Below are 26,595 nucleotides of genomic sequence, written 5' to 3' on the forward strand. Positions count from 1 at the left end.
AAGAAAATATAGTGAAGGTTGTACACATAGAGCATTTTCAAAATAAAAAATATAACAATGTGATATATAGTTATGTATTTTATATATACTACATGAAACTTTTTGTAGTCATATTATTTCCTTGAGTCTCTAATAATTTTTAAGTCACACTGAAATTTCTTCTGTTATAATTAGGAATCCACAGAATTTCAATTTCAAAACCTCTGTTCTCAGAAATATTAGGTGGGTACTTTTATTCTCAGCTTTGAGAACTGTCTGCCAGTTCATTGACACTCCTCTCTCTGCTCTTATATACCCTGAATTATAGCTGACATTAAAAGGTTCCATTGGAGTCACAGGCAGACCCATATGACAGGAAACACCGCTACCACTCTACTAAATGCCAAAATGCTCACTCAGGGCTTAAATCTTGCTGGCTTGGAAAACCAGCTACTTCTTTTGCATGTTGTATTTGGAAGATTTCAATCAGTTAAATAGCTGCCCTTTGTTTAAGACAAAGAAAGAAACATAACTTTGGGAACAGATATTGAATTCACAATATCCATGGCAACACAGAGAGCTGTGGAATTGCTAAGAGAAGATGTACCTTTGTATGTCAAACAATGGGAAAGACCTTCAAGGAAATCTGTTTAAAATTTTTAGTGTATGTCACCTAGAAGCTTAACATGAAAAGGTAAGAAAGGAATAGGGAGAGTTGAGTTTACCAGAATTAAAACATGAGTTAAAGGAATTCCATACCCTAATTGGCCGAAGGATCACCTAACCATGTTAATAGTGACAGGTAAAATTTGTGAAAGGGAAGATTAGAAGATTCAACAATTGCATATTGGACTTATGATGTGTGTGTGTATGTGTGTGTGTGCGTGTGCGCATGTGCACAGGCATATGTCCCGCATAGACTGTACTCTATTTTAATCCGTGCCTTTCATTCTCAAACTCTAGATGACAAGAGCACCTCAAAGGCAGCAGCCTCAAGGAGCAGCCATGGCCCCAGACTTGTCGCACGGATGCAGAAAACTTAATGGAGGAGGCTGAGGTCAGAATGGGAAGAGTTTTTAAAAAATAAAAAGGGGAGCTAATATGTGAGGAACTGATTGCTGTGCATTATTTTCCACTGAACAGACCTTCTTTTAACTTCTAATCTCAAGCACATAGCAGCTGTTGTTTTCATATTAAAGATCAGTAAGTGTTTGTTGAATGAATGTATAAATTCTTCCCCAATCTCTGTTCCATGTAATAAGAACTAAGTTAGCATTCAATTATAAAGAGGACTTAGAAAGTCTGCAGACATTTTTGATCAAAAATCCTTTTAACTGTCTTCTTATGGTTCCCGGTAACACCTAAGCCCAAAAAACTCAGGTCATTTCTTGCCTGTACTGTTGCAATAGCCTCATAATAACTAGTCTTCTCCTTTATCAACCACAGTCGTCTCCGCTACACAAAGAAGAGAGGGTGCTAATCTAAAGTGTAAATTATTTTAAATCAGCACCCTTCTTGTAATTTCCCAGTGGTTTTTCCTGTCATAAGAATAACATGCAAAATTCCTTGCTTGCAAAGCCAGGTATGACCTTGCCCCGTCTACCTTACTGGCATCGTCTCTCATGACTCTTCCCCTTTTTCACTCTCCATCTTGCCTTTTCCCAACCATGCCTGCTAGTGAGCCTTAGCCCTTGTGTTTTCTCTGCCAGGGATGCATGACTGGCTTCTTTACTTTATTCTGATCTCTCTGCTCAAATGTCATCTTTTTAGAGATAGCTTTCCTAAACATCTTTAAAAGTACCCCATGAACTGTGAAACACCTTTCCTGCTTTTTCTTCATAGTACTTATCACTTCCTGATATTATGTTAGACAACAAGCAAATAAGTATATGCTGTTCCCACTAAAATATAAGCTCCATTTGAACAGGAGCCTTGATTATTCCTGAGTATACCCCTAGTGCCCAGAACCTAGTAGGGCTTTAATAAATATTAGATTCATTTGTTGAATGAAAAAATGAATGAATAATTGAATAAAGATATCCAGGTAGAGTGTCCGGGCAGCCCAACCTATGTGAAGCCAGTACAAGAATGTTTCTGTGACATAGTGAGCGCAATTATTCCTCTAAATGATGAACTTGCATGAGTACACAAGGATAAAATTAAGCACGTAGTTTAGATTTCTGCAAGTCTCTTCCTCAGATTGAGGAAAAACAAAGAAATTGAGCTTATTCTCACCTCATTCTTACATGAACTAAATCCAGAATAAAGCATCATTTAAATACCAAGCACATCCCTACCTCAGCCACTCATGGAATACTTTATCTGTAAAGGGACAGATAGATAGTAAATATTTTTGGCTTTGGGGACCGTACAGTCTGTGTCGCCACTACTCAGCACTTCTGTTGAGGTGTGGAATCAGCCCTAGACAACACATAAACAAATGGGTGTGGCTGTGTTCCAATAAAATGTTATTTATAAAACTAGGAAATCAGCAGATTTAGTCCACAGGCTGTAGTTTGCTGACCCTTGAATTAGAGAGTCTTCCCCAAATCCTCTTCCCAAGTTATTGAAAGAATGCCCATAGGACCATAGCTCCCTCACCTGGTTCTTTCAAGAAATGAGACAAATTCAGGGATGGTTGGAGGGTGGAACGCCTACCTGTGACATGACTATTGAGCCTGATTTCTTTCCTTTTATCTCTTTAAAGTGAGTCAGGTCTTAACTTTAAACTGTCTCTAAAGTGGCAATAACTGGGCCATGTCAAATACTCCCAATGACAAAATTTCTTCTTGGAGAATGAATGAGGGTTGCATACAGTGGTGTGTTGGTAAATGTTTAGCAACTGGCTCTCTTACTGATTTCTGTAGTGTAAATTCTCCCATCCTGGCCATCTGAAACTACCAATATGATGTCACTTGATGTAGAGTTGGGAAAAGACAGTCTCTTGAATAAGTATGAGCTGGTTCCAGCCCACTGCTGAACACATATTTAAAAGCTACAATAGCTCTGCTCACTGCCATTGCAGAGTCTGGAGGAAAGAGTAGCAGGCTTGATAGGAGCAATTGGCTGAATAATCTTTTGCAATGCCAATAAATAATGAAAAAGTATATAAATATAACGCTGTATAGAAAGCTCTCAAGTTCAGTGTTTGGTTAAAATACATACTCAGTAAATGGTAGCTATTATTGTCTTAGTTTAAGTTATTGCAAGCATTAAAATTAAATGTTTAGCTACAGACTCAATCCAGTTTTAATGTCATTGTGTTAATAAGGCCTCTTAACATTGAAGCAACAAAGATAAAGGAATTTTTTTGTAGCTATTCACGATTCTGCCCAGCTCAAGGTAAAGATAGCAACAAAATACTCCAACCAGAATAAAAGAAGTCTCCACTTGACTGCAGCTCTTCGCAACACTTCACAAGGGTCAAGCTGTGTTAGTTTCCTTCAGTGTTAAACAGAATGCATCTTAAGAGAATAGTTCAATTATTGATTGAATAGTAGGTTCAAGTTGACTATAATCCCAACTAATACACTCTAAGACCAGGGATGGGCCGACAGAAGGGTAAAGTTTTCCACTCAAGTCTCGAGGCAAACACTCAGATAGAAGTAGTAATATGGATGCCTTCTATTATTTGGTCACATACAATACTGTTCCAGCCCAGTTGTGCAAAACTGGTGAAATAAAAGGCAAAAATATTGACAACAGTTTGGGTAACTGGATTCCAAAATGGGCATCCATCTAAGAGAAATTAATGAAAAAAAAGCATATGGACCTTGAAATACATTAATACACAGTTTAGGTTTAAACACTCAGTTTTTATTAGAAAAGACTAACTTATCCTGTTTTGAACACTACAAAAGTGCTTTCTGAACCATTTACTCTCAAACCTCCTCCACCCATTCCCCTCCATCTATAACGCTTTCTGCACATCTGTAAAAGGTATGACTTAGTGTTTGGTCTGTGAAATAAGGTTAAAAAGGAAGCATTTCTTTTTACATTCTAGCTAATGTTGATATTTTTCTCATGCTTCTATTAGCACATAATTCAGATACATTAGTTTTGAAGTTTTGAATCTTCTCTGCTTCTTGAGGGCTCTCTGTTCTAGATCAACATGATCTGTGGAACACCAGCCAAGTCCTGGGCAGAACCCTCCCCGTTGTCCAAATATTACTGAATCAGTTGAGTTTTCTCTGTTGTCAATGAATTATTCCACATGTTTCTTTGGCTACATTTTTTTTGGCTTTCTGTTCACAGTAAATATAGCCTTTGTTTTTAAAAACTTCTATTATGAAAATTCCAAATATATGCAAATTAGAGAGAATAGCATAATGAACCTCTATGTGCTTATCACACATATAGGTTCAACTAATTAAATTATATCAATTTATGGCCAATCTGGTTTCATTTATAACATCATTCGCTCATTCCTAACTCCCTGGATTATTTGATTGACATGTTTCTAAAGTTCCTTTTAATCTGTAGGTTCCCCCTCTCATTTAATCTTTTGCAACTTATTCATTGATGAAACTGGGTTATTTGTCCTTTATTGTTTCTCTCATTCTGAAATATGCTGTAATGTCATTAACCATATTCTTCTTTCCTGTATTTTCTGTAAGCTTTGAGCTAGGCAGAAATATTTTAATCAGATTCCTTTTTTTTTCTTTTAGCAAGATTTCTTCATAAATAATATTGTATGTGTTCATGAAAATAGAAATAAAAATAGAAATAAAGAAGAAATAACAGAAAAAGGACAGAAATTGTTAAAATTTTTTTATGAAAACAGATAGTAAATAACATTGTAATAAATCCCAACAGAACATAGAGAACCTGACTTTATTGACGTTAGTGGGAGGAGGTTTGTGATTTTAAAACTATATATTATGGTTATGTCATCTAAAAATCAAATATTCAAGCACATATATTAAAATTAGTCATCATTACATTTTTCCAAAATAAAAAATAAAACTAAACCAACATTAACCATCAGTGATTCCATCAACTGAGCAAGTTTGAGTAGCATTACCCTAGTGAATATCAGACTATCGATTATTCTATTCATGTACCTGAAATTGGATAACAGTATGAAGAATTTCCTGAACAAATACAAGATACATATTTAGACCTTCTCCAGTCTAGAGGAATACTTGCTTCTTGTCAGAATGAAGAATGAGGAGTATTGTTTTAGAACTGGACTTCTTTGATGACCCTTAAGTAAACCAATATGGACCAGATAACAGGAGCATTTCAAAGCATCAGAATTTTGGGGGATTCTTGTGGTGGAGCACAATGAGGCATTCCAGCCTACTCTAAGAAAATAGTTCATCCCTGTCAATATCCTGGGAAGCAGAGTTCAGATAAAACTATGAAGACACAATGTAAAATGTCAGTTGTCTTTGCAAAACATTAAGTATATGTGTATTCTTGGGAATGGGGGGAAGTATGTAATTATTTGTGGCTTTTCAAAAATGAATGGCTTTTGAAAAGCCACCTCTGTAGTGCCTTTTTGATTCCTCTTACGAAAAAAACAAACCTGGAAAAATTAGTAGTCTTTAATTTATAGTTAGTTAGCACATTATGACAGAACTTTAATCTCATATCTCACTAGGTAGAAATGAAATAATACATTTTCCCATTATATATTGATTGGAGTTAATTAAATATAGTTAGTATTCCATTTACATTGATGCTTTTTGTTCAAATCTATGGTATTATGTATAAATATGCCAATTATTCAGTAAAACATCACTAAAATTAAACCTATATTGTTATGAAGCTGTTAGAAAATATCTTCTTTGAATTCTGAGAGCTGTATTATATTAGTTTAACTAGTTATCTTGAAATTCTGAAGTTCCTTGAATCTATTTTAATTTTGTATCAGGAATTGGAGAGGTTTTTCCAGAAAAGTGTTACTTAAATGCATCAAATGCAATGTGGGAATTTTGACCCACTTCTTGTATTTCTATTTTCCTGCTGTTTTTGCCCCCAGAGGAAGAATATAAACATTTTGCTTATTGTAACACATTGCTTCATTATGATATATTATTGTTACCATTTTTTTAAAAAAAGAATGTTTCTAGGTTTTAATTAAGCTCCTTCACCTAATATGTAATTTTAAAGTTATTATTTCATATAATATCTAACTTGCCACAGTTAGGAACCTGGAGCAGACTGAACCTTTGGACAAAATGATGCCGTTATTATGAAAACAGAAAAGCATAGACCAGGTGTGGTGGCATATGCCTATAATCCTAGCACTTTGGGAGGCTGAGGTGGTTGGATCACTTGAGGTCAGGAGGTCAAGACCAGCCTGGCCAACACAGCAAAACCCCGTCTCTATTAAAACTACAAAAATTAGCCTGAAATGGTGGTGGACACCTGTAGTCCCAGCTACTTTGGAGGCTGAGGCAGGAGAATCGCTTGAACCCGGAGGCAGAGGTTGCAGTGAGCTGAGATTGTACCACTGCACTCCAACCTGGGCGACAGAGTGAGACTCTGTCTCAAATAAATAAATAAATAAATAAATAAATAAATAAAATCATAGCTGTAGGCAACTTCAAGCTTATAATTTTGCAGAGCAATAGCAGTAAGATACTCTGTACAAAGTTAAGTCAAGGATTATTGCACATCTCATATGATGGGATTCTTTTTTTAAAAGTTTTATTTTATTGTAGTAAGAATACTTAGCATGAGATCTACACTCAACAGGTTTTCTAAGTGTACTGTTTATTATCACTGATGATAGGCACAACATTGTACAGCAGATTTCTAGAGTTTATTCATCTTGCTTAACTAAAACTTTATGCCCATTGAATAGTAACTCCCCATTTCCCCTTTCCCCCGCTTCTGACAACACGATTACCCTTTGGTTCTACAAATTTGACTATTTTAGATACATCATGTAAGCGGAAGCAGAAAGTGTTTGTCTTTCTTTGACTAGCTTATTTCACTTAGCATAGTGTCGTCCAGGTCATCAATGTCATCCCACACTGCAGAATCGCCTTTTTTTTTTTTAATGGCTAAATAGTATTTCATTGTGTATACGTTTTTTTATCCATTTCACCTATTGATGGGCATTAAGGGTGTTTCCACATCTTGGCTGTTGTGCATACTCCTGCATTGTGCTATTCATGGGAGTGCTAATATCTCTTTGGGATCTTGATTTCAATTCTTTTGGATATACAGCCAAAAGCGATATTGCTGGATCATATGGTAACTTTTTTTTTCAATAGTTTTAGGGGTACAGTGGTTTTTGGCTACATGGATGAATTATATGGTGGTGCAGTCTAGGCTTTTAGTGTATCTGTCACCTGATTAGTGTACATCGTACCCAATATGTAATTTTTAACCCTCACTCCTCTAGTTTTATTTATATATATAAATACAATTTTTTTGAAATGGAGTTTCTCTCTTGTCACCCAGGCTGGAGTGCAATGACGCAATCTCAGCTCACTGCAACCTCTGCCTCCCAGGTTCGAGCGATTCTCCTGCCTCGGCCTCCCGAGTAGCTGGGATTACAGGCACCTGCCACCACGCCTGGCTAATTTTTTTGTATTTTTAGTAGAGATCGGGTTTCACCAATTTGGCTGGTCTCGACTCCTGGCTGGTCTCGACTCCTGACCTCAGGTGATCCACCTACCTCGGCCTCTCAAAGTGTTGGAGTTACAAGCATGGGCCACCGCACCCGGCCTATTTATAATTTTTTGAGGAAACTTTGTACTTTTTCCCATAGCTGTACCATTTTGCATTTCCACCTACAGTGTTCAAGAGTTCCAGTTTCTCCACATCCTTACCAATACTTGTCTTTTTTTTTTTTTAATAGCCATCCTGGCAGATGTAAGGTGATATTTCATCACAGTTTTGATTTGCATTTCCCTGATAACTAATGACATTGGACTTTTTTTTATATATCTGCTGGCCACCTGTATGTCTTCTTTGGAGAAACATCTATTCAAGTTTCTAGTTCATTTTTAAATTGGATTATTTGCTTTTTGCTATTGAGTTGTTTGAGTTCCTTATCTATTTTGAAGCTTAACCCTATATCAAATGGGATTCTTATATTTTTGTTTCATATTTTGTAATATATCAGGTCCATGAAATTAGCTATCTTAAGTAAGTTGCTTTTGTGTTGTTTCTTATGACAATTCTGATTAGAATATTAATACAAACGTGAAATGCAGCTTTTACCAACAAATGGGCTAGTTTTTATTGAATCAATAAAACCCATATTTTGAGAGTTTTACTCAAAAGAACCTAAAATTCAGTTGAATATAAAGAAATGGGGTTGTTTGTTTTTTTCTTGTAAATTTGTTTGAGTTCATTGTAGATTCTGGATATTAGCCCTTTGTCAGATGAGTAGGTTGCGAAAATTTTCTCCCATTTTGTAGGTTGCCTGTTCACTCTGATGGTAGTTTCTTTTGCTGTGCAGAAGCTCTTTAGTTTAATTAGATCCCATTTGTCAATTTTGGCTTTTGTTTCCATTGCTTTTGGTGTTTTAGACATGAAGTCCTTGCCCATGCCTATGTCCTGAATGGTAATGCCTAGGTTTTCTTCTAGGGTTTTTATGGTTTTAGGTCTAACGTTTAAGTCTTTAATCCATTTTGAATTAATTTTTGTATAAGGTGGGCGAAGGACATGAACAGACACTTCTCAAAAGAAGACATTTATGCAGCCAAAAAATACATGAAAAAATGCTTACCATCACTGGCCATCAGAGAAATGCAAATCAAAACCACAATGAGATACCATCCCACACCAGTTAGAATGGCAATCATTAAAAAGTCAGGAAACAACAGGTGCTGGAGAGGATGTGGAGAACTAGGAACACTTTTACACTGTTGGTGGGACTGTAAACTAGTTCAACCATTGTGGAAGTCAGTGTGGCGATTCCTCAGGGATCTAGAACTAGAAATACCATTTGACCCAGCCATCCCATTACTGGGTATATACCCAAAGGACTATAAATCATGCTGCTATAAAGACACATGCACATGTATGTTTATTGTGGCACTATTCACAATAGCAAAGACTTGGAACCAACCCACATGTCCAACAATGATAGACTGGATTAAGAAAATGTGGCACATATACACCATGGAATACTATGCAGCCATAACAAAGGATGAGTTCATGTCCTTTGTAGGGACATGGATGAAATTGGAAATCATCATTCTCAGTAAACTATCGCAAGGACAAAAAACCAAACACCGCATGTTCTCACTCGTAAGTGGGAATTGAACAATGAGAACACATGGACACAGGAAGGGGAACATCACACTCTGGGGACTGTTGTGGGGGGGGGAGATGGGGGAGGGATAGCATTAGGAGATATACCTAATGCTAAATGACGAGTTAATGGGTGCAGCACACCAGCATGGCACAGGTATACATATGTCACTAACCTGCACATTCTGCACATGTACCCTAAAACTTAAAGTATAATAATAATAAAATAAATAATTTTAAAAAAAAGGCCAACTTGTGAAGCTAAAACCAGCAAAAAAAAAAAAAAAGTGTTATTCAAGAGTAAGAATGAAATAAAGATTTGTTTTTGGATAAACAAAAAAAAAAGAAAGAAAGAAATGGCAATTACTTAGAGAGGCTTGGAAGGTATATTTCAGAAACCGATGTGACAGCACTTACTGATAATTACAGTGTTAAAAAAAAAGTTTCTGTTTTGAATGTTCATGTAAATTTGCATTAAATTTAATTGTTGTCAAATGTGTAGTTTATGTTCTAGTGTGACAATTTTTAATTTTGTTTATATTCATTTATGATTCATTTGAAAGGGTTTTTGTGTAAATTGATTGATTTGTAACAAAATGCCAATTCTCATGGTACATTATTAAAATTCTGTGTTAGTGATAGAGCTGCTTTTTATAAAAAGGATACTTTCCATTAACATTTGAAAGTAAGTATTCCTCACTTTATCCTGATAATGATAATGACAAAAACTTGTATGGGAGGATGTGAACCAGCACTACACAACTTCTAACGTTTTGTCTTACAGTGCTTCAATTTTCTATCTTGTAAACTTATATTTGTCCAGCTAATTGGATTACATTAAGTGATCTGGTATTTTTAAGCAAAACAAAATAACAGATCTTTGTAAGAGCCAAATCAAAGACTTTGGCCTATTATACATGTAAGCTAGGCTTTATTTGTTGTCATTTTAAAGAAATAGTAATGGTGACCAAAAAACAGCAGAATCTTTTTTTTTTTGCGGGGGGCGGTGGAGTCTAATTTTTTGTATTTTTAGTAGAGACGAGGTTTCACCATGTTAGCCAGGATGGTCTCGATCGCCTGACCTCATGATCTGCCCACCTTGGCCTCCCAAAGTGCTGGGATTACAGGACTTGACCAAAATAGCAGAATTTTTTTTTTCTTTTTTTTAAAGACAGAGTCTCGCTCTTTCGCCCAGGCTGGAGTGCAGTGGCGTGATCTCGGCTCACTGCAGCCTCCGCCTCTCGATTCAAGCAATTATCCCGCTTCAGCCTCCCAAGTAGCTGGGACTACAGGCATGCACCATCACGCCCAGCTAATTTTTGTATTTTTGTATTTTTTTTTTTTTCTTGAGGCAGAGTCTCGCTCTGTCACCCAGGCTGCAGTGCAGTGGCGCGATCTCGGCTCACTGCAAGCTTCGCCTCCCGGGTTCACGCCATTCTCTTGCCTCAGCGTCCCGAGTAGCTGGGACTACAGGTGCGCACCACCACGCCCGGCTAATTTTTTGTATTTTTAGTAGAGACGGGATTTCGCCGTGTTAGCCAGAATGATCTCGATCTCCTGACCTCGTGATCCGCCCACCTCGGCCTCCCAAAGTGTTGAGATTACAGGCGTGAGCCACCGCGCCAGGCCAAAATAGCAGAATCTTAAGAGTTAGAAGACACGGTTAAAATCACCCACCCTCTCTTAGGCTGAAATTCCTAAGCAACACATCTCTCTGGCTTATAGCATTTTAATTAAGGAATTAACATTTTCTAAGGTAAGGAAGTTACTACTTTCGTAGGCAACTAATCACATTTTTGCATAACTCTAATTTTTAGGAAGTTCTTTCTTATTTGAACCAAATTTTATCTCTGGACTAATACCAAATATGTCTATATGACAGCACTTTGAATATTGGAGGTCTGTTTTCATGCCCTTCTCCCCAGACAAACCTTTAATTTGTTACAATAAATTTTTAAGGATCTCTGGAATTACGGCATTATTGTTATACATCTACATGGACTTATGATAAAGTTTTCCAGACCACGAAGTCTGCCCAAAATTTTGGAGTTTAACTTAACGAAATTAGAATCCAGCTACAAAGTTAAAGAGAAGACCACCTTTACTTCTGACACCCAACCACAAGTTCCATATTGCCCCAAACCACCTTCAGATTCCATAATTTACTAGAAATACAGAACTCACTGAAACTTATTATACTCACAGTTTTATTTATTACAGGGGAATGATTCATAAAATCAGTCAAAGAAAGAGACACATAGTACAGAGTCTGGAAGGGTTCCAAATGGGAGATTTGTGCTGTCTTTAGGATGTATTCCTCTTCTACTACTGATGTGTGATGGTACATTTTTGGCCCATTTTGTGTTGGTATAACAGAATACCACACACTAGATAGTTTATAATGAACAGAAATTGATTTATCACAGTTCTGGAGGCTGGGGAGTCCAAGACCAAGCAACCAGCATCTGGGCCTTCTCAATGTGTCATCCCGTGGCAGAAGGTGGAAGGGCAAGAGAGGGAGAGAGAGTAAAAGAGGGACAAGAGGGTCAATCTACGCCTTTTATAACAAACTCACTCCCATGATAACAGCATTAATCCATTCACTTTGCCCTCATGGACTAATCGCCTCTCATTAGGCCCTACCACTCAGCACTCTGGAATTGGATATTTAACTTTTAAATGCATGCTTTTTGGGGGACGTATTCAAAACACTGCAATACACATGAAGAACTATCAAACAGGGAAGCTCAACTGAGCTTCTGTACTCAAAGATTTTGTTGGAGTTTCAATACATAGGCATGAGTGATTGATTAACAATATAGCAAGTTGTCCAAAGAGCCCATGATGAATAACAAAGACATTCTTATCACCTGGTGAATTTCAAGGGTTTACAGATTACCTCCAAAGAACCAGATACAAAGACTGGGCCTCTCTTTGAGTGAGGCCAAATTTCTTTCTATGCTGTATCATTTGCTATTTTCTTGGCCCCAAATACTCCAATTTCTTCAACTTACATGAGATACAGTTTATGAAGTTCAACATGTCTTGGATGTGTTTCTCTAGATAATCTCTAACATTTCAATTTCCTCTTTTGACATACATACTTCCTATTGCTTGTCTTCAGAAGCTATCTCTAATTTAAAGTATTGGAACCCCACTAGGAAGTGTAAAATAATACTTTAGGGTCAGCCAACTTGGAGAATCCTGACATTTAACAGCTGTTAAAACTTGGAAACATTAGATGTTCCTTCTGAACTTCCAGTTCTTCATAGATAACAGTGTTACGAATAATACCCACTTCATATTTTATGGAGGCTAAATGAGATCACGTGTAAAATTTTTCATGCATCATAGGAGCTTGATAGATATTAGTTATTTTTTGGGACAAATACTGGACAGTCTGAATTTGTGTGTGAAAAGTATCTTAAGCACTGCTTGCTTATCAAGTCTTCTAGACTAGATGTATGCATACATTATTAAAAACATAATTCAATTCAGTTCATTAAATATTTATCTAAGTTCAACTGAGAAGTGCACAGCATTATGCTAGTGACTGAGAGAGAAGAAGACAGTTTCTGCCTTTCTGGAGTGATGACATTTTCATAAATATCTCTGATGTAAGTAGATTGGAGTAGGTGTTAAATTCAGATACAAAACTAGTACAACAATGGAAGTCCAAGACAGAAAAAAATATCTGATTGGGGTCATTGGAAGAATGCATCTCCAAGAAGGTACTATGTCCCTGAAGGCCCAGTAGTGAGTAACTTTGAGAATTTCTGAGTGAATTTACTTGGTAAAAAAGTAGATTTAGCAACAAGATATAAATAAATTAATCATGAATATAGAAATAAACTTTAAACAAAATTATAACAGAAATAAGAGCTCTCTAAAATAATTAGCAATGTTAAAAAAACAAACATAACTTTTAGCCATGAGTTTAATCTTTGCATGAAAAATATTTTATTGATTTTTACTGGAATGCAAAGAGATTTCTTCTGTGCTTCATGCTTTAAACATCCAGGAAACTTTACCCAAGTCTGAAATTGATTACGTCAGTTTTTTATTTCAAGGAAAATATGTGTAGATTTTATTTGAGGTAGTTTTGTTTTGAAAACTATGAAGGAATTAAACATAAATCATTTATTCCTCAAACAATTTATTCAACAAATATTCATTGCATGTATGCTGTGTGCCAGGAACTCTTCCAGACTCTGGGAAATATGTCTCCAAGAAAGCAGACAATACCCCTGCCCTCTGTGGAAGACTGACAAATATACAAGTGCATATGTATATATAGACTGTCAGATGATGTAAGTATGATGAAGAAAATGAAAGCCATGTAATGGGTGATGGAGCGGGGCATAGAAAGGTGCCATTTGCTATTTTATAGAAGTAGATCAGGGAAGACCATGTCATGGTAGATATCTGAGCAGAGACCATTCCAGGTGTGGGAGCATGTCAGAGAGGTATCCAGGGGCAACAGTTCCAGGCAGAGAAAGCATGAAGAGCAAGGTGCCCAAGGCCAGAGCATGTGTGCTTGGCATTTTCCAGGAGCAGCAAGGAATTTAGTGTGGCTGAAGGAGAATGAGCAAGGGAGAAAGCAGCAGGAGAGTGCACATGAAGCCCTGTGTGCCATTACGAAGACTCTGCTTTTTTTTTTTTTTTGAGTCGGAGTCTTGCTCTTCCGCCCAGGCCGGAGTGCAGTGGCGCGATCTCGGCTCACTGCAAGCTCCGCCTCCCGGGTTCACGCCATTCTCCTGCCTCAGCCTCCCGAGTAGCTGGGACTACAGGCGCCTGCCACCTCGCCTGGCTAATTTTTTGCATTTTTTTTAGTAGAGACGGGGTTTCACAGTGTTAGCCAGGATGGTCTCGATCTCCTGACCTCGTGATCCGCCTGCCTCGGCCTCCCAAAGTGCTCACCCTCCCTACCTTTAGCGTCTGCCTCACCTCTTGTCTCTGTGTTCCTCTATACCTGTGCTGTCTTGTATGGTCACCACTAGCCACATGTGTCTACTGAGAACTTGGAATGGGGCTAGCCCAAATGGACAATATGAGAAAAATGTAAAATATCTCAATACTTTTCGTATTGTTTCATACGTTGAAATACAAATAGTTTGAATATATTTGATTAAGAAAAATGAATTCCATATTTCTTTTCTTGTAATTAACATTTTTGTTTTGAGATAATTCTAGATTTCCATGCAGTTGTAAGACATAACACAGAGAAATCCTGTGTACCCTTTATCCAGTTTTCCCAATAGCAATATCCTGCAAATCTTAGTCACAATATTGCTACTAGAATATTGACAATGATACTACCTTATTCATATTTTCCTAATTTTAATTGTACTCCTTTGTGTGTTTGTGAGTGTGTGTAGGTGTTTAGTTCTGTGCAACTTTATCACATGTGTAGGTTGTATCTACCACCACATCAAAATACAGAACTGTTCCTTCATCACAGATTCCTTATAGTTCCCTTTTATAGCCACTCTGCCCTCCTTCCTGTGCCCTGTCCCTGCCCAGCCCTGACCCCTAGCAACTACTGGTCTTTTCTCCATTTCTAAATTTTTGTCCTTTAAAGAATTTTGTGTAAATGAAATCATACAGTATGTAAACTTTTGGGATTGCCTTTTTTTTCCTTAGCATAATTCTCTGAAGATTAATCCAAGTCATTTTAACAGTTCATTCTTCTTTTTTTGCTGAGTAATATCCCCTGGTAGGGATGTACCACAAATTTTATTTAACTACTTGCCCATTGAAGTACCAAGTTGGTTCCTGTTTTTGCTATAATCATTTCTGTACAGGTTTTTGTATAATCATGAATTATATTTGTCTAGTTTAAAGGCTCAAGAGTCCAATTGCTAAATCACATGGTAACGGCATGTTTATTTTATAAGATTGCCTGATTGTTTTCCATGGTGTCTGTACCCATCTGTTGCATTTTGCTCTTTTTCACTGTGGCTATTAGACAATTTAAAATTACATACATAATTTTTCACATTTGTAATAATTTTTCACATTTCAAAAGAACAGCACCCAGACAGTTCTTGTTCTCAAGAACAGGACTTGAGACAGTCCTGTTCTCCAGTACCAAGCTCTTACCACCTCAGGCTTTCCCAGGTGCCTCGATTTCTAGCTGGAGTGTGTTCTCATTATTCCCGGACAGATGCACAGACTTCTACAGCACAGTGAGTGGTTAAAAAAAGAATCTAAAACTAAGCAACCTGGGTTTGGATGCTGGGTCTGTCCCTTACTGGCTCTGTGATTTGTTAAGGTATTTAATGCCTTTGTTCCTCAGTTTTCTTATCTGTGAACAGGGTGACTGTAGCAGTACTGATGTCATTAGGTTGGTTTGAGGGTTGAGTGAGTTAGTACATGTAAAATTGGGTCCCATTGAAACCCTTCTAACCCTTTACCCAAGAGTAGGTTTAAATCCTCATATAGACTTCCATTGCAGTCAATGTCCTTGTTAAAATTGTAATTACATGATTGTATTAGTCTGTTTTCATGCTGCTGATAAAGACATACCCAATACTGGGCAATTTACAGAAGAAAGAGGTTTAATGGATTTACAGTTCCACATGGCTGGGGAGGCCTCACAATCATGGTGGAGGGCAAAAAGGAGCAAGTCACGTCTTACATGGATGGCAACAGGCAAAGAGAGAGCTTGTCCAGGGAAACTCCTGTTTTTAAAACCATCAGATCTCGTGAGACTCATTCACCATCATGAGAACAATGCAGGAAAGACCTGCCCCCATAATTCAATCACCTCCCACCAGGTTCCTCCCACAACACGTGGGAATTGTGGGAGCTGCAATTCAAGATGAGATTTGGGTGGGGACATGGCCAAACCATATCAATGATTGTTTCATATTTTTCTCCACTACTGGAATCTAAATACCTATGAGGCCAGTGACCTCATCTATCTGATTTAGTGCTGTATCCTCATTGCTAGCACAGAACTAGTTAAGAGAAGGCACTTATCACTTAAGAATGAATGAATGAATGAATGAATTTCCTTCAATGTAAACATTTACTCACTATTTACTTAAAGTACTATTTTGTTTAATTTATCCTTTCTTAATGTTTAAAAGATCATGTATTATTCATGTTTCTCTGATTCGGAAGACTAGGCCTCTAAGTTATCTGAACAGTTTTTACATGAAGATCCCATGTATTCTGAAATAAAAATTGTTCCAGTGTAATGACAAAAATCAAATGAAAAAATAATTAGACATATCTGTATGATACTATTTGATTGTTAGTTTTGTTTAATGTGTGTGGCTTAAATAATCATTTTATTGTTATACTAGGATAGGTTGACAGAATCCATGTTACTTAACTGCTTCCTTTGGCTTTATGGGCCTTTTGAAGTCTTAGCCCCCAAAGCATCAGTAGGTGATATTGACATTGAAGTACTTCTTTATCTCTCTGCAGATAATTTTATCTCATTATTTCAATTATTTATGGCTTCAATTAGGTAACCTCCATGACATTCTTAGGAAATTCAGAAAAAAACATGGCACAACTTCGATGATTTTCATTTAGCCACTCTCTAAGACCCAAACTGTGTACCAACCATCATGATCAACAGCATATGCTTTTACACACACACACACACACACACACACGTGCACACACACACACACATTTTGTTAGTTATCTACCTTTACTTCCTCATACTACTGAGGGCAGTTTCTGTAGTAGAAAGAACACTGACTTATGCTTATTCTGAGCTAGGGTGAGTTAGGCTCTTGCTCTACCATTTTTATTAACTCTGAAGTCTTGAAAAGACCAATTAGCATGTTTCAGCCTTCATTTGCTACATACTGGGAATCATACCTGGAGGAATCACATTGATGACAAAACACAAGAGTCCATGTATAGAACCGTAATAATAAATAGCTCCATATTTGGATAGTACTAGCCCACGTGCTGAATCTCAGGGACATACTTACAGATGTACGTTTCCTCCAATTTCCCCTATATGCCCTCAAAGGCAGGTATCATTGGGCCAATGTTATACATTAAATATGCTGAGTATCAGAAGTGAAATTTAACTTCACACAGTTATGTGACAAGACTGTGCTATAAAACCATGACTAAATCCAAACTGATCCATAGGAGGGTAAAATGTCCGTTTTCTTCATTAAAACTTCTCAGCTCAAATTTATACTAAAGCATATCCAGGAATTAAAAAAAAGGTTTTGATGATATTTGCTTTCTAGTTTAATAAGTTTTAATACTGAATAGGTTAAATTAATACAAAATAACATAAAATGCTAATATTTATTGAGTATTTACTTTGTACCCACTACGATCTTAAGTAATTTACTGGGATTATTTTATTTTAGTTTAACAATGCAGGTAGCTACTATAATCGTCCCTATTTTACACTTGAGGAAACAGGCTAAGAGAGATTAAATTAGTGGCCCAAGGTCAGAAAGCTCGTAATTCTTGAAGCCAGGGTATGATTCTGTGTAACGTGAGGGTTCAAGCCTTTACCAGTGATGCATGTTGCCTCTTATTTCATTAATTTAAATTGGTCATTTGGGTTAATCACATAGAAGGTGACGTTCCATTTTGTTTTTGTATGACTTGCATTCTTCAACATTTTTCATCCACAGTGCGATAAAATAATATCATGTTCATTCTCTTCTATACCTTTACATTTGTGTTTCCCTATGGCCTTTATAAATAAAACAAACAATTTCAATAGCAAATCCTTGCGTGAAGTGAGTTAGTGCATCTGGCTCCTCCCATTTTCCTGTTGCAACCCAAGGACTTTGAGGGTCATCATCATATCTACCTATAGGCCAGCAATAATTTTCATGATTGGGTAACTCTAGTACTATGGATATGAAAATGTAATACTACATTTCTTAAAAAATTACTTCTATTTTAGTAGATCTCTATATAACTACCTTCTGGAATAACAATATTATGTGGATTATTTTTTCTAATTAAAATATTAAATCTTTATTTAAAGACTGCTGTTCATTTGGCTATTTATTTACACATTACATATGAGTCTCTGTTTGGAATTTGTTAGTTTCTATACATCTGCTCCATGAGCTATTTGTGTGTGAAAGTTGCTGCTTTATAAGAACATTTGCCTTTACGTGTTGCTATTTTATTATTGCTATATTTAATTGGAATGCCTCTATTGTGTAACCAGAAAGAGTTTTCCAAACTTGGGAATGTTTGCATCACATAGTATAGAGATGTTTATTTATTTATTTAATTTCATTTCCCTAAGATATCAACTTTGATTAATAATTATATACAGGCTTTGTTCTTCTTATCTGGGTGTCAACAGTAATTGGAATCCATATCCATATCCTACCTTGCAATCATGCTGCAAAAGGCCAATAAATTCCCGCTGAGTGTGTTACTTGTTAAATTTAGTGCATTACATTCAGGGTAATGAATAAAAGCAGTGGACCGTTACCGTCTGGCTGGCTGAGGAAGGTTAGAACAGCCAGACTCCCCTGAGGCCTTGAGCCAGCTTAAAAACGGTGACAGGCAGAATCAAGGGAGTCCCCAAGCATCACAGTTCAGTTTGTCTCCCTTAATTTCCTCTTCTGTAGAGACTCAGGCTGTAGGGAGGTGAGGTAATCTTATCCATTAATTCACCACACTTTCATAAAATGCTGCGTGCTCTGGTTTCATTAACAAGCAAATACAGTTTAGATAAATAGTTATGTATTTACATTTGAGTAGGGAAGTGAGAATGCTACTGAATGTAAACAAGTGGCTACAGCTTCATGCAGTTCACTTTGCATATCCACATATGTCTATTGTGTATTCATTTGTCTGTATTAAAAATGCACATAGATATTTTTGTGAGTGAATAATCAATAAAGCAAGCCCCATAGGTATATATGTCTACCTACCTCCATCTCATATTTATTAAACACATGTAAGCAGTCACTGAAAAAAGGACTACAACATTGCTAAGGCTACTTACAACTGTTTCTTAATAAATAAATACATGCTTCATATAAAAATATTATTTTTAAAACTGTAATGTAAAAATTTCAGATGTATGGTAAATATGCAAATGCAACAATATTAGAAAAAACTGGTCTATATTCTCAGTTTACTGTTTACAGTTGTGAGAACTGAGTGAGAGTCCTTATTCTCCCAGTGTAATAATTATTACACATTATGCTTCCTGCCAAAACTAGCTGACTGCCTTAGTCCTTTGAGTTGTGAATATCAGTATCAATTCAAAAACAACTATTTAATAACAACTTTCTTAAAGAAAGGAAGAAAATATAATTTTATGAAATGACCACTTTTATTATTCTTGAGTGTCTCAGAAAATTTAGTGTAAAGTGTCCTTTGCTATCCAGGATATAACAGCTGGTTCCAGATAACATGGTATGTCTCATTAGAGAGATACTAGATCTAATTATGCAACATATAAGCAAGATCATTATAGAAACATTATCTCGATGAGGTAAGTAAAGTACATGTGAAATCTAACTCTGCTGTTTGAAAGAATTTTTGAAAGCAAATGTAAGGAATTAATAATTACTTAAGTGTATGAAGAAAGCTGTTGCAAACTACTTATGAATCTTTGACATGTAATGAAAAAATATAATAGAATGATAAGTACCCTGATTATTTGTGCTAGAGATAAAAATGAACTTCTGGGCAAATATCTTTTGCTACCGACAAATTTTTTTTCTAAACAGTAAAAATGAGTGCCTTTTCATAGCATTTCTACTGTGTCAGAAATTCTCAAACTTTAGAGTGTAACTGAAACACAGAGAGGGCTTATTAAAACAAAGATTGCCGGTCTCCAATCTCAGATTCTGTTCAATAAGGCTAGGTAGAGCCAGAAAATTTGCATTTCTAAAATTCCCAACTGGTGTTCATGTTGCTGGCCCAGGTCCACTATTTGAGAACCACTGCACTATGTGAAAATCACTAAAGAAGACGCTTAACTTACATTATCTTCTTGATTATTTTTCTTTAAGATGCAAGTCCATGGATTCTATTCTGTTAGGTATTTTGCTTTCTTTCCTTTTTATTTTTTAGAGACAAGGACTCACTGTGTTGCCCAGGCTGGTATTGAACTCCTGGGCTCAAGTGGTCTTCTCACTTCAGCCTCCCAAAGTGCTAGGATTACAGGTATGAGCCACCATGCCCAGCTTGCTTGATATTTTTCAATTAAGCTATCTATCTATCTTTGAAAATCTAGATTCCTTTACAAATAAATCTATCTTCAAAATATAGTTAAGACTATATGCCGGTCGGGCGCGGGGGCTCATACCTGTAATCGCAGCACTATGGGAATTTGAGGCTGGCAGATCACGAAGTCAGAAGTTTGAGACCAGCCTGACCAACATGGTGAAACCCCGTTTCTACTAAAAATACAAAAATTATCCAGGTGTGGTGGTGGGCACCTGTAATCCCAGCTACTCAGGAGGCTGAGGCAGGAGAATCGCTTGAACCCGGGAGGCAGAAGTTGCAGTGAGCTGAGATCGTGCCACTGCACTCCAGCCTGGGTGACAGGGCGAGACCCCATCTCGAAAAAACAAACAAACAAAAAGAGGCTATATGCCAAGCATTAGGCATATTTATAATAGCATATTGATAAACAACAGCACAAATAATAAAATGAATAGATATTACCAGCTTAATATTTGACTTAGCAAGGAAGAGGCCAGGAATAATTAGAAGTTTCAGCTCTACAAAGCCAATTTTGCTTACTCTTGTCTGTAGACATTGTCTTTTTCCTAAGAAGACTGAGTTTGTTAACTAAGTTTATTAATTCTGTTCATATCAATTTTAAATTTATCAAAAAGTAGCTACTGGGTCAAAGTCTTGATATTGAAAAACTGGATTATGATCTGTTTTCCAAGTTGATTTTAACTAAGCGATTTGACTAACTCTTGTCTCCATCTTCACAGCAAAACAGAGCGTGACACTCCCAATCATCTGCATGCTGGAAATGAGGAAATGGTTATTGAATGATACAAGTGCTTTTCGATCATTTAGAAAGTTCTGTTTCCCAAGATCTTTTTTTTTTTTTTTTTTTTTGAGACGGTGTCTTGCTCTGTCACCCAGGCTGGAGTGCAGTGGCGCGATCTCGGCTCACCACAACCTCCACCTCCTGGGTTCAAGCGATTCTCCTGCCTCAGCCTCCCGCGTGGCTGAGACTACAGGCATGTGCCACCATGCCCGGCTAATTTTTGTATTTTTAGTAGAGACAGGGTTTCACTATGTTGGCCAGGCTGGTCTCAAACTCCTGACCTCGTGATCCGCCCGCCTTGGACTCCCAAAGTGCTGGGATTACAGTTGTGAGCCACTGTGCCCGGCCTAGCAAGATCACTTTTTAAGTATCCAGAAAGCTCTTTCTTATGTTGAATTATGTCCAGAGGCATAACTAGACTGAAGGTTTAGACTCCATTCATTCTCCTATGTTTTTGTTCTTAACTGCATTCTGCAGTCAAATCAGGAGCTTTAGAAAATACTGATGCCTGGCTCTCAACCAGAGAGAACTGAACTGAATTGGTCTGGTGAGTAGACACAGGTCATTAGGATCTTTAAAAAATCTTCTCATGTGATTACAATGTGTAGCTGAGAGTTTGAGACCAATGTTTACCGTTATTTACAGGTGAATTCATTAAAAGAGCTAACAACAATGAAGTTAATGTACGCATCTCACCTCTCAAGAGTATTAACAGGCCAGGCGTGTTGGCTCATACCTGTAATCCCAGCACTTTGGGAGGCCAAGGCGGGCGGATCACCCAAGGTAAGTTCAAGACCAGCCTGACCAACATGGTGAAACCCCGTCTCTATTAAAAATACAAAATTAGCCAGGCATGGTGGTGCATCCCTGTAATCCCAGCTACTCGGCACCTGAGGCACAAGAATTGCTTGAACCCGGGAGGCAGAGGTTGCGGTGAGCTGAGATCCTGCCATTGTACTCCAGCGTGGGCAACAAGAATGAAACTCTGTCTCAAAAAAATAAATAAATAAAAATAAGTATTAACACATGGGAAATCATAAAGTTTTCATTCTGAGCAGTGTGTCTTTGAATGTTTTGACCACGCAGAGATGGGATTATCATGGTAAAATCCACTCTATGGATTTACCATAATCTTGGTGGTAACGTGTTAACAGAAGCAATATTTATTATGAGAGTTAAAGTTTCATTTGGTTTAGGTTCATATTTTCTTTCTCCTGTCAGTCTGCAATGGCTCCCTAACATAATTCCAGAGAGCATATGATGTGCTAGGCTCTGTGTAGGGGACAGGAGCACAGTGGTAAACCAACGTAAAGGTAAGTTTCTAGAATAATTAGTAATATGTTTAGAATAAATACAAATATGAAAATCATTGGAAAATTAAAAGAGTTAAATGTTTAAAAAAGATTTACAAATCAACAATAATTTGATGTTAAAATATAGATTATATTGACAAAAAGTAGAAAGGGAATGTGGATGTGAAGAGAGGGAATAAAAGGAGTACAAAAGGAAAGATGTATTCATATTTTTGTCCTAATTGGGCAGGGAAAACTGTGCTGCTTCATTCTTGGCTTTGATACTAACACAGGTATAAAGTATAAGAAATATATGTAGACATTTTAAGGAGACGTACAAAATAAATATAAAATATAAACATTGTGTATAATTATCAAATCACTAGTCAAGAATCATATAATTTAAATAACTAAAATCAAGGCAATAAAAGTCAAAGTTAATAACTGTTATTTATTAACAGTTATTTAAGGACTTGTACCCTATAAACAGAAACTATACATTTTTCAAGCATCTATGATTTACCAAAATAGACTAGTATTAGTTAAGAACAAGATAATAATAATAAATAACAGAAATTTCAGGAATTACATAAGGTCACAACTTAATAATACAAAAAAAATAATCTTTTCATAAAAACATTCCCCAAAAATATTAAAAACAAACAACAAATCAATAACAACATTAAAATAAGCAAACCATTTGCCTAAATAACTGTTGTGACAAAAGGCAAACTAAACCATAACTGTAGGCCATTTAAGAACCTACTAAATTACAGCACCACGTTTCAACACTGATGTATTACCAAAGCTCTTCTTAGAGACAAATTCATAGGCTTTAACAGTCTATTAAAAAGAAGTATAAAAGAATCATGTCTTTATCACAGGAACTTAACTGGACTACAATAAAGCAAAGATGAAACTTAGAAAGAACACAAATTTAATTGCATTAGAGAAATTGGAAAATCAACAAGTAAATCACAGAACTAATATTTTTAAAGAAAAAAATTCGTTACTATTTTAAAAGGAATAAGCAGCAGGAAAAAAATGAGAAAGAATACAACACGCAGAAAATTTTTAAAAAATACTGAGGGTAATGTTTAAGAAGGTAATTGCAAATTTCTAGAAGAAATGCTAGCAAATGTAATTTGTATAGGATGTTAAAACAATACTTAATAATGCAGTACTACATTATCTTAGCAATACATAGATGATTTCAATAATCAATTTATAATATTTGACTATATATAGCAGCATTCTATCTCTCCATGTATTCAAGTTTTCTTATAGGACTCATAAATATGTTTTAATAGACTTCTGGCAAGTTTATACTTTTGTGAAAATTAGAAAGATTTTTTTCCATTACATTTTTTACCTGGTTATTGCTGGATTGGAAGAGTCACAAAATTCCACGCACACAACTTGGATGTAAACAAAAAATACAGCACACATAATCTGGTCTTTTTCTGAATTCCACGTCCAAAATTTGGCAGAAAAAAAAAAGTGTTCAATCTCCTGTGAATCTACTCTGATCTGCTATACTAAAAAATACTTAGTCTTTTTGTGCTGCATTTTTCCCCCCTTCCCCATTATCTCCTCCTAAGCCTTGCCTGGGAATTGCAAGCCCACCAGAGATCCTATTCTGTCACTAAGCAAAATCTGATTTACAATTTTGGCTGAGGAGAGGGAACATATTAAAACATATCAACAATTTTAGAATCAATATTATTAAATTTCATGTAGGTTTTAGAAATGTTTTACTTGTATACTTTAGACTTCATTTTATAAAATTACATTTTTAAAACTTTTTACATTTTTAGGAAATACATGTTAGCTAAAAAACTGTGTTTTGCTCCCTGCTACGTTTGCTTATCCTATCCTTCATTACTCCTTGGATTTTAGTCTAACTGGTCTTGGGACATGCCTCTTCCCCACAAACACCCCCACCACCATACCACATTGCTGTGACACATTTAGCTTGTTAATGTGGTAAGAGTGGAGCTCACTTACAGAATTTTTGCAGACTAGACCTTAGGCTACAGGTCTTTACCATGGAGCAGAAAAGTGGTATCTCAAACCTCATCCACAAAGGTTGATCTAGTCCAAGCCCCTCTCCAGGTTCATGTCCATGTACAGCTTTGTTCTTATTGTAACAACCTACATTTTAGAATAGGCAACGAAGACCATTACCAAGAGCAGTAGGAGGGGCAACCTTCGGCTGTTTGTTTTTCAGGATCTCAACTTGTGAACTTACTCTTCTCTTCACAGAATGGGATAACTGCCTGGCACTCACCAAGCTACACTTGAAGAGGATCAATCCATGTCATCATGTCCCCAATTTCATAGCACCAAGTATTTTGTTTATTCACAAATGCCCTATTATGGACATCTAGCAAACAATGATACATCAGAAAAGGAGATGTGCATAAATTTTCATGGAATAAGGTATAAAGCCCAACTCTCAATACATACTAATCATAACAGGAGTCTAAGAAATATTCTGAAATAAATGGGAATGCAGAATGTGTCAGGCCTCTGAGCCCAAGCTAAGCCATCATATCCCCTGTGACCAGCACGTACACATCCAGATGGCCGGTTCCTGCCTTAACTGATGACATTCCACCACAAAAGAAATTAAAATGGCCTGTTCTTGCCTTAACTGATGACATTATCTTGTGAAATTCCTTCTCCTGGCTCATCCTGGCTCAAAAGCTCCCCAACTGAGCATCTTGTGACCCCCACTCTTGCCTGCCAGAGAACAACCCCACTTTTTCCTTTACCTACCCAAATCCTATAAAACAGCCCCACCCCTATCTCCCTTCGCTGACTCTCTTTTTGGACTCAGCCCGCCTGCACCCAGGTGATTAAAATCTTTATTGCTCACACAAAGCCTGTTTGGTGATCTCTTCACAGGGATGCGCATGAAAGAATGTGCCACAGAAAATGAGACACATCAATGAGGGTAGGTTTGAAATACCAATTTAAAGCAGACTTTCACCGTTTGGCCAGGCTATAAACATTAAAAATCCATAACTAAGATCTTACTATATATTCAGGCATTTTAAGAACTCTGCATATATAATTACATTTGACCCTTCTAATGCCTTTATCAGATAGGTTCTATTATTGCTCTTTTTTAAATAAAGAAGATAAACTTTGAAGAGATTAATAAATTAATAAATTGGTCCTCCATGACACAGATTAATAAATAGCAGAATCTTGATTCAAATTCTATTTTGTCCTCGATTTTAACTTCATAATCATAATGTTATAATGTTGTTTCATGTTACTTTTAGGGATTGCAAAAGGTTAAAACCCAATTTATATTAGTTTAAGAAAAAGCAGAAATCATAGAGGGTACCGTTAGGGTACTTCCCCCTTTCTATGAGGCGTTTCATAGAAACCAAGTACAGGAATACAGCTGTGCCTCAGGAATATCAGAATCCAGGGAATAAAGACTGACCAAACTTAGTTTCCACCTCTGCCCCAGCCACCTGACCCCCTTCCACCACACTCCACTAGCTCCCTCCACCTCCGCTCTACCCCCCACTGTCTTACTTCCATCCACTTAGTAGAAAACATAGTTACTGTGAGCTTTATATCTTTTAGTCCAAATATTCAATGCCCAAAAACAGTTGCTTGACCTTTTTTTTTTTTTTTAATCACAAACAACACTAATTGTGGGGATGGAACACTTTGGCCAGGTTTAGGTCATTGTCCATTCTAAAACAATTATCTATTCAGTCTCTTAAATCAAGAATATTTTGAGAATGTTTTTATATGTCTGACACTGTCTTTAGTACTGTGAATCCAGCAGTGAACCAGACAAACAAGATCTTATATTCTATAGAGAGAGACAGGGAATAAGTAAGTTAAAATATATAATAAATATCCAAGAGGCAAATACATATATAAGATAAATACATAAGCTGATTTCAAATAGTACTACATTAAAACAAGGTAATATATAGCAAAAGATTGATGGGGCAGAGGAGTGGAGGTCAATATTAGATATATAAGAGAATATTTATCTGAGATAACATCTGAATAGAGACCCAGATGACAAGAAAAAAACAGCCATCAAAAAATCTAGAAAGGTGATGGCAGGTAGAGAGGATG

At 36.6% G+C, this 26,595-nt stretch overlaps 1 long non-coding RNA gene across 16 annotated transcripts in view; it reads left to right on the forward strand.

Moving 5' to 3' along the window:
* MIR99AHG (mir-99a-let-7c cluster host gene) overlaps nt 1-25,676 on the forward strand; it is a 561,240-nt gene extending 535,564 nt beyond the window's left edge. For 15 of the 16 annotated variants that reach the window (NR_136542.1, NR_027790.3, NR_111005.2 and 12 more), the window contains one exon: nt 943-4,726. This is a non-coding gene — a long non-coding RNA (mir-99a-let-7c cluster host gene). Of the gene's footprint in view, nt 1-942; nt 4,727-21,664; nt 21,735-21,832; nt 21,971-24,744 lie in introns of those variants that run through there. The other variant, NR_136541.1, reaches the window with a different exon arrangement.
* Nucleotides 25,677-26,595: the final 919 nt, after the last annotated feature.

The sequence above is a fragment of the Homo sapiens genome, chromosome 21, assembly GCF_000001405.40.
Source record: "Homo sapiens chromosome 21, GRCh38.p14 Primary Assembly".
Lineage (NCBI taxonomy): Eukaryota > Metazoa > Chordata > Mammalia > Primates > Hominidae > Homo > Homo sapiens.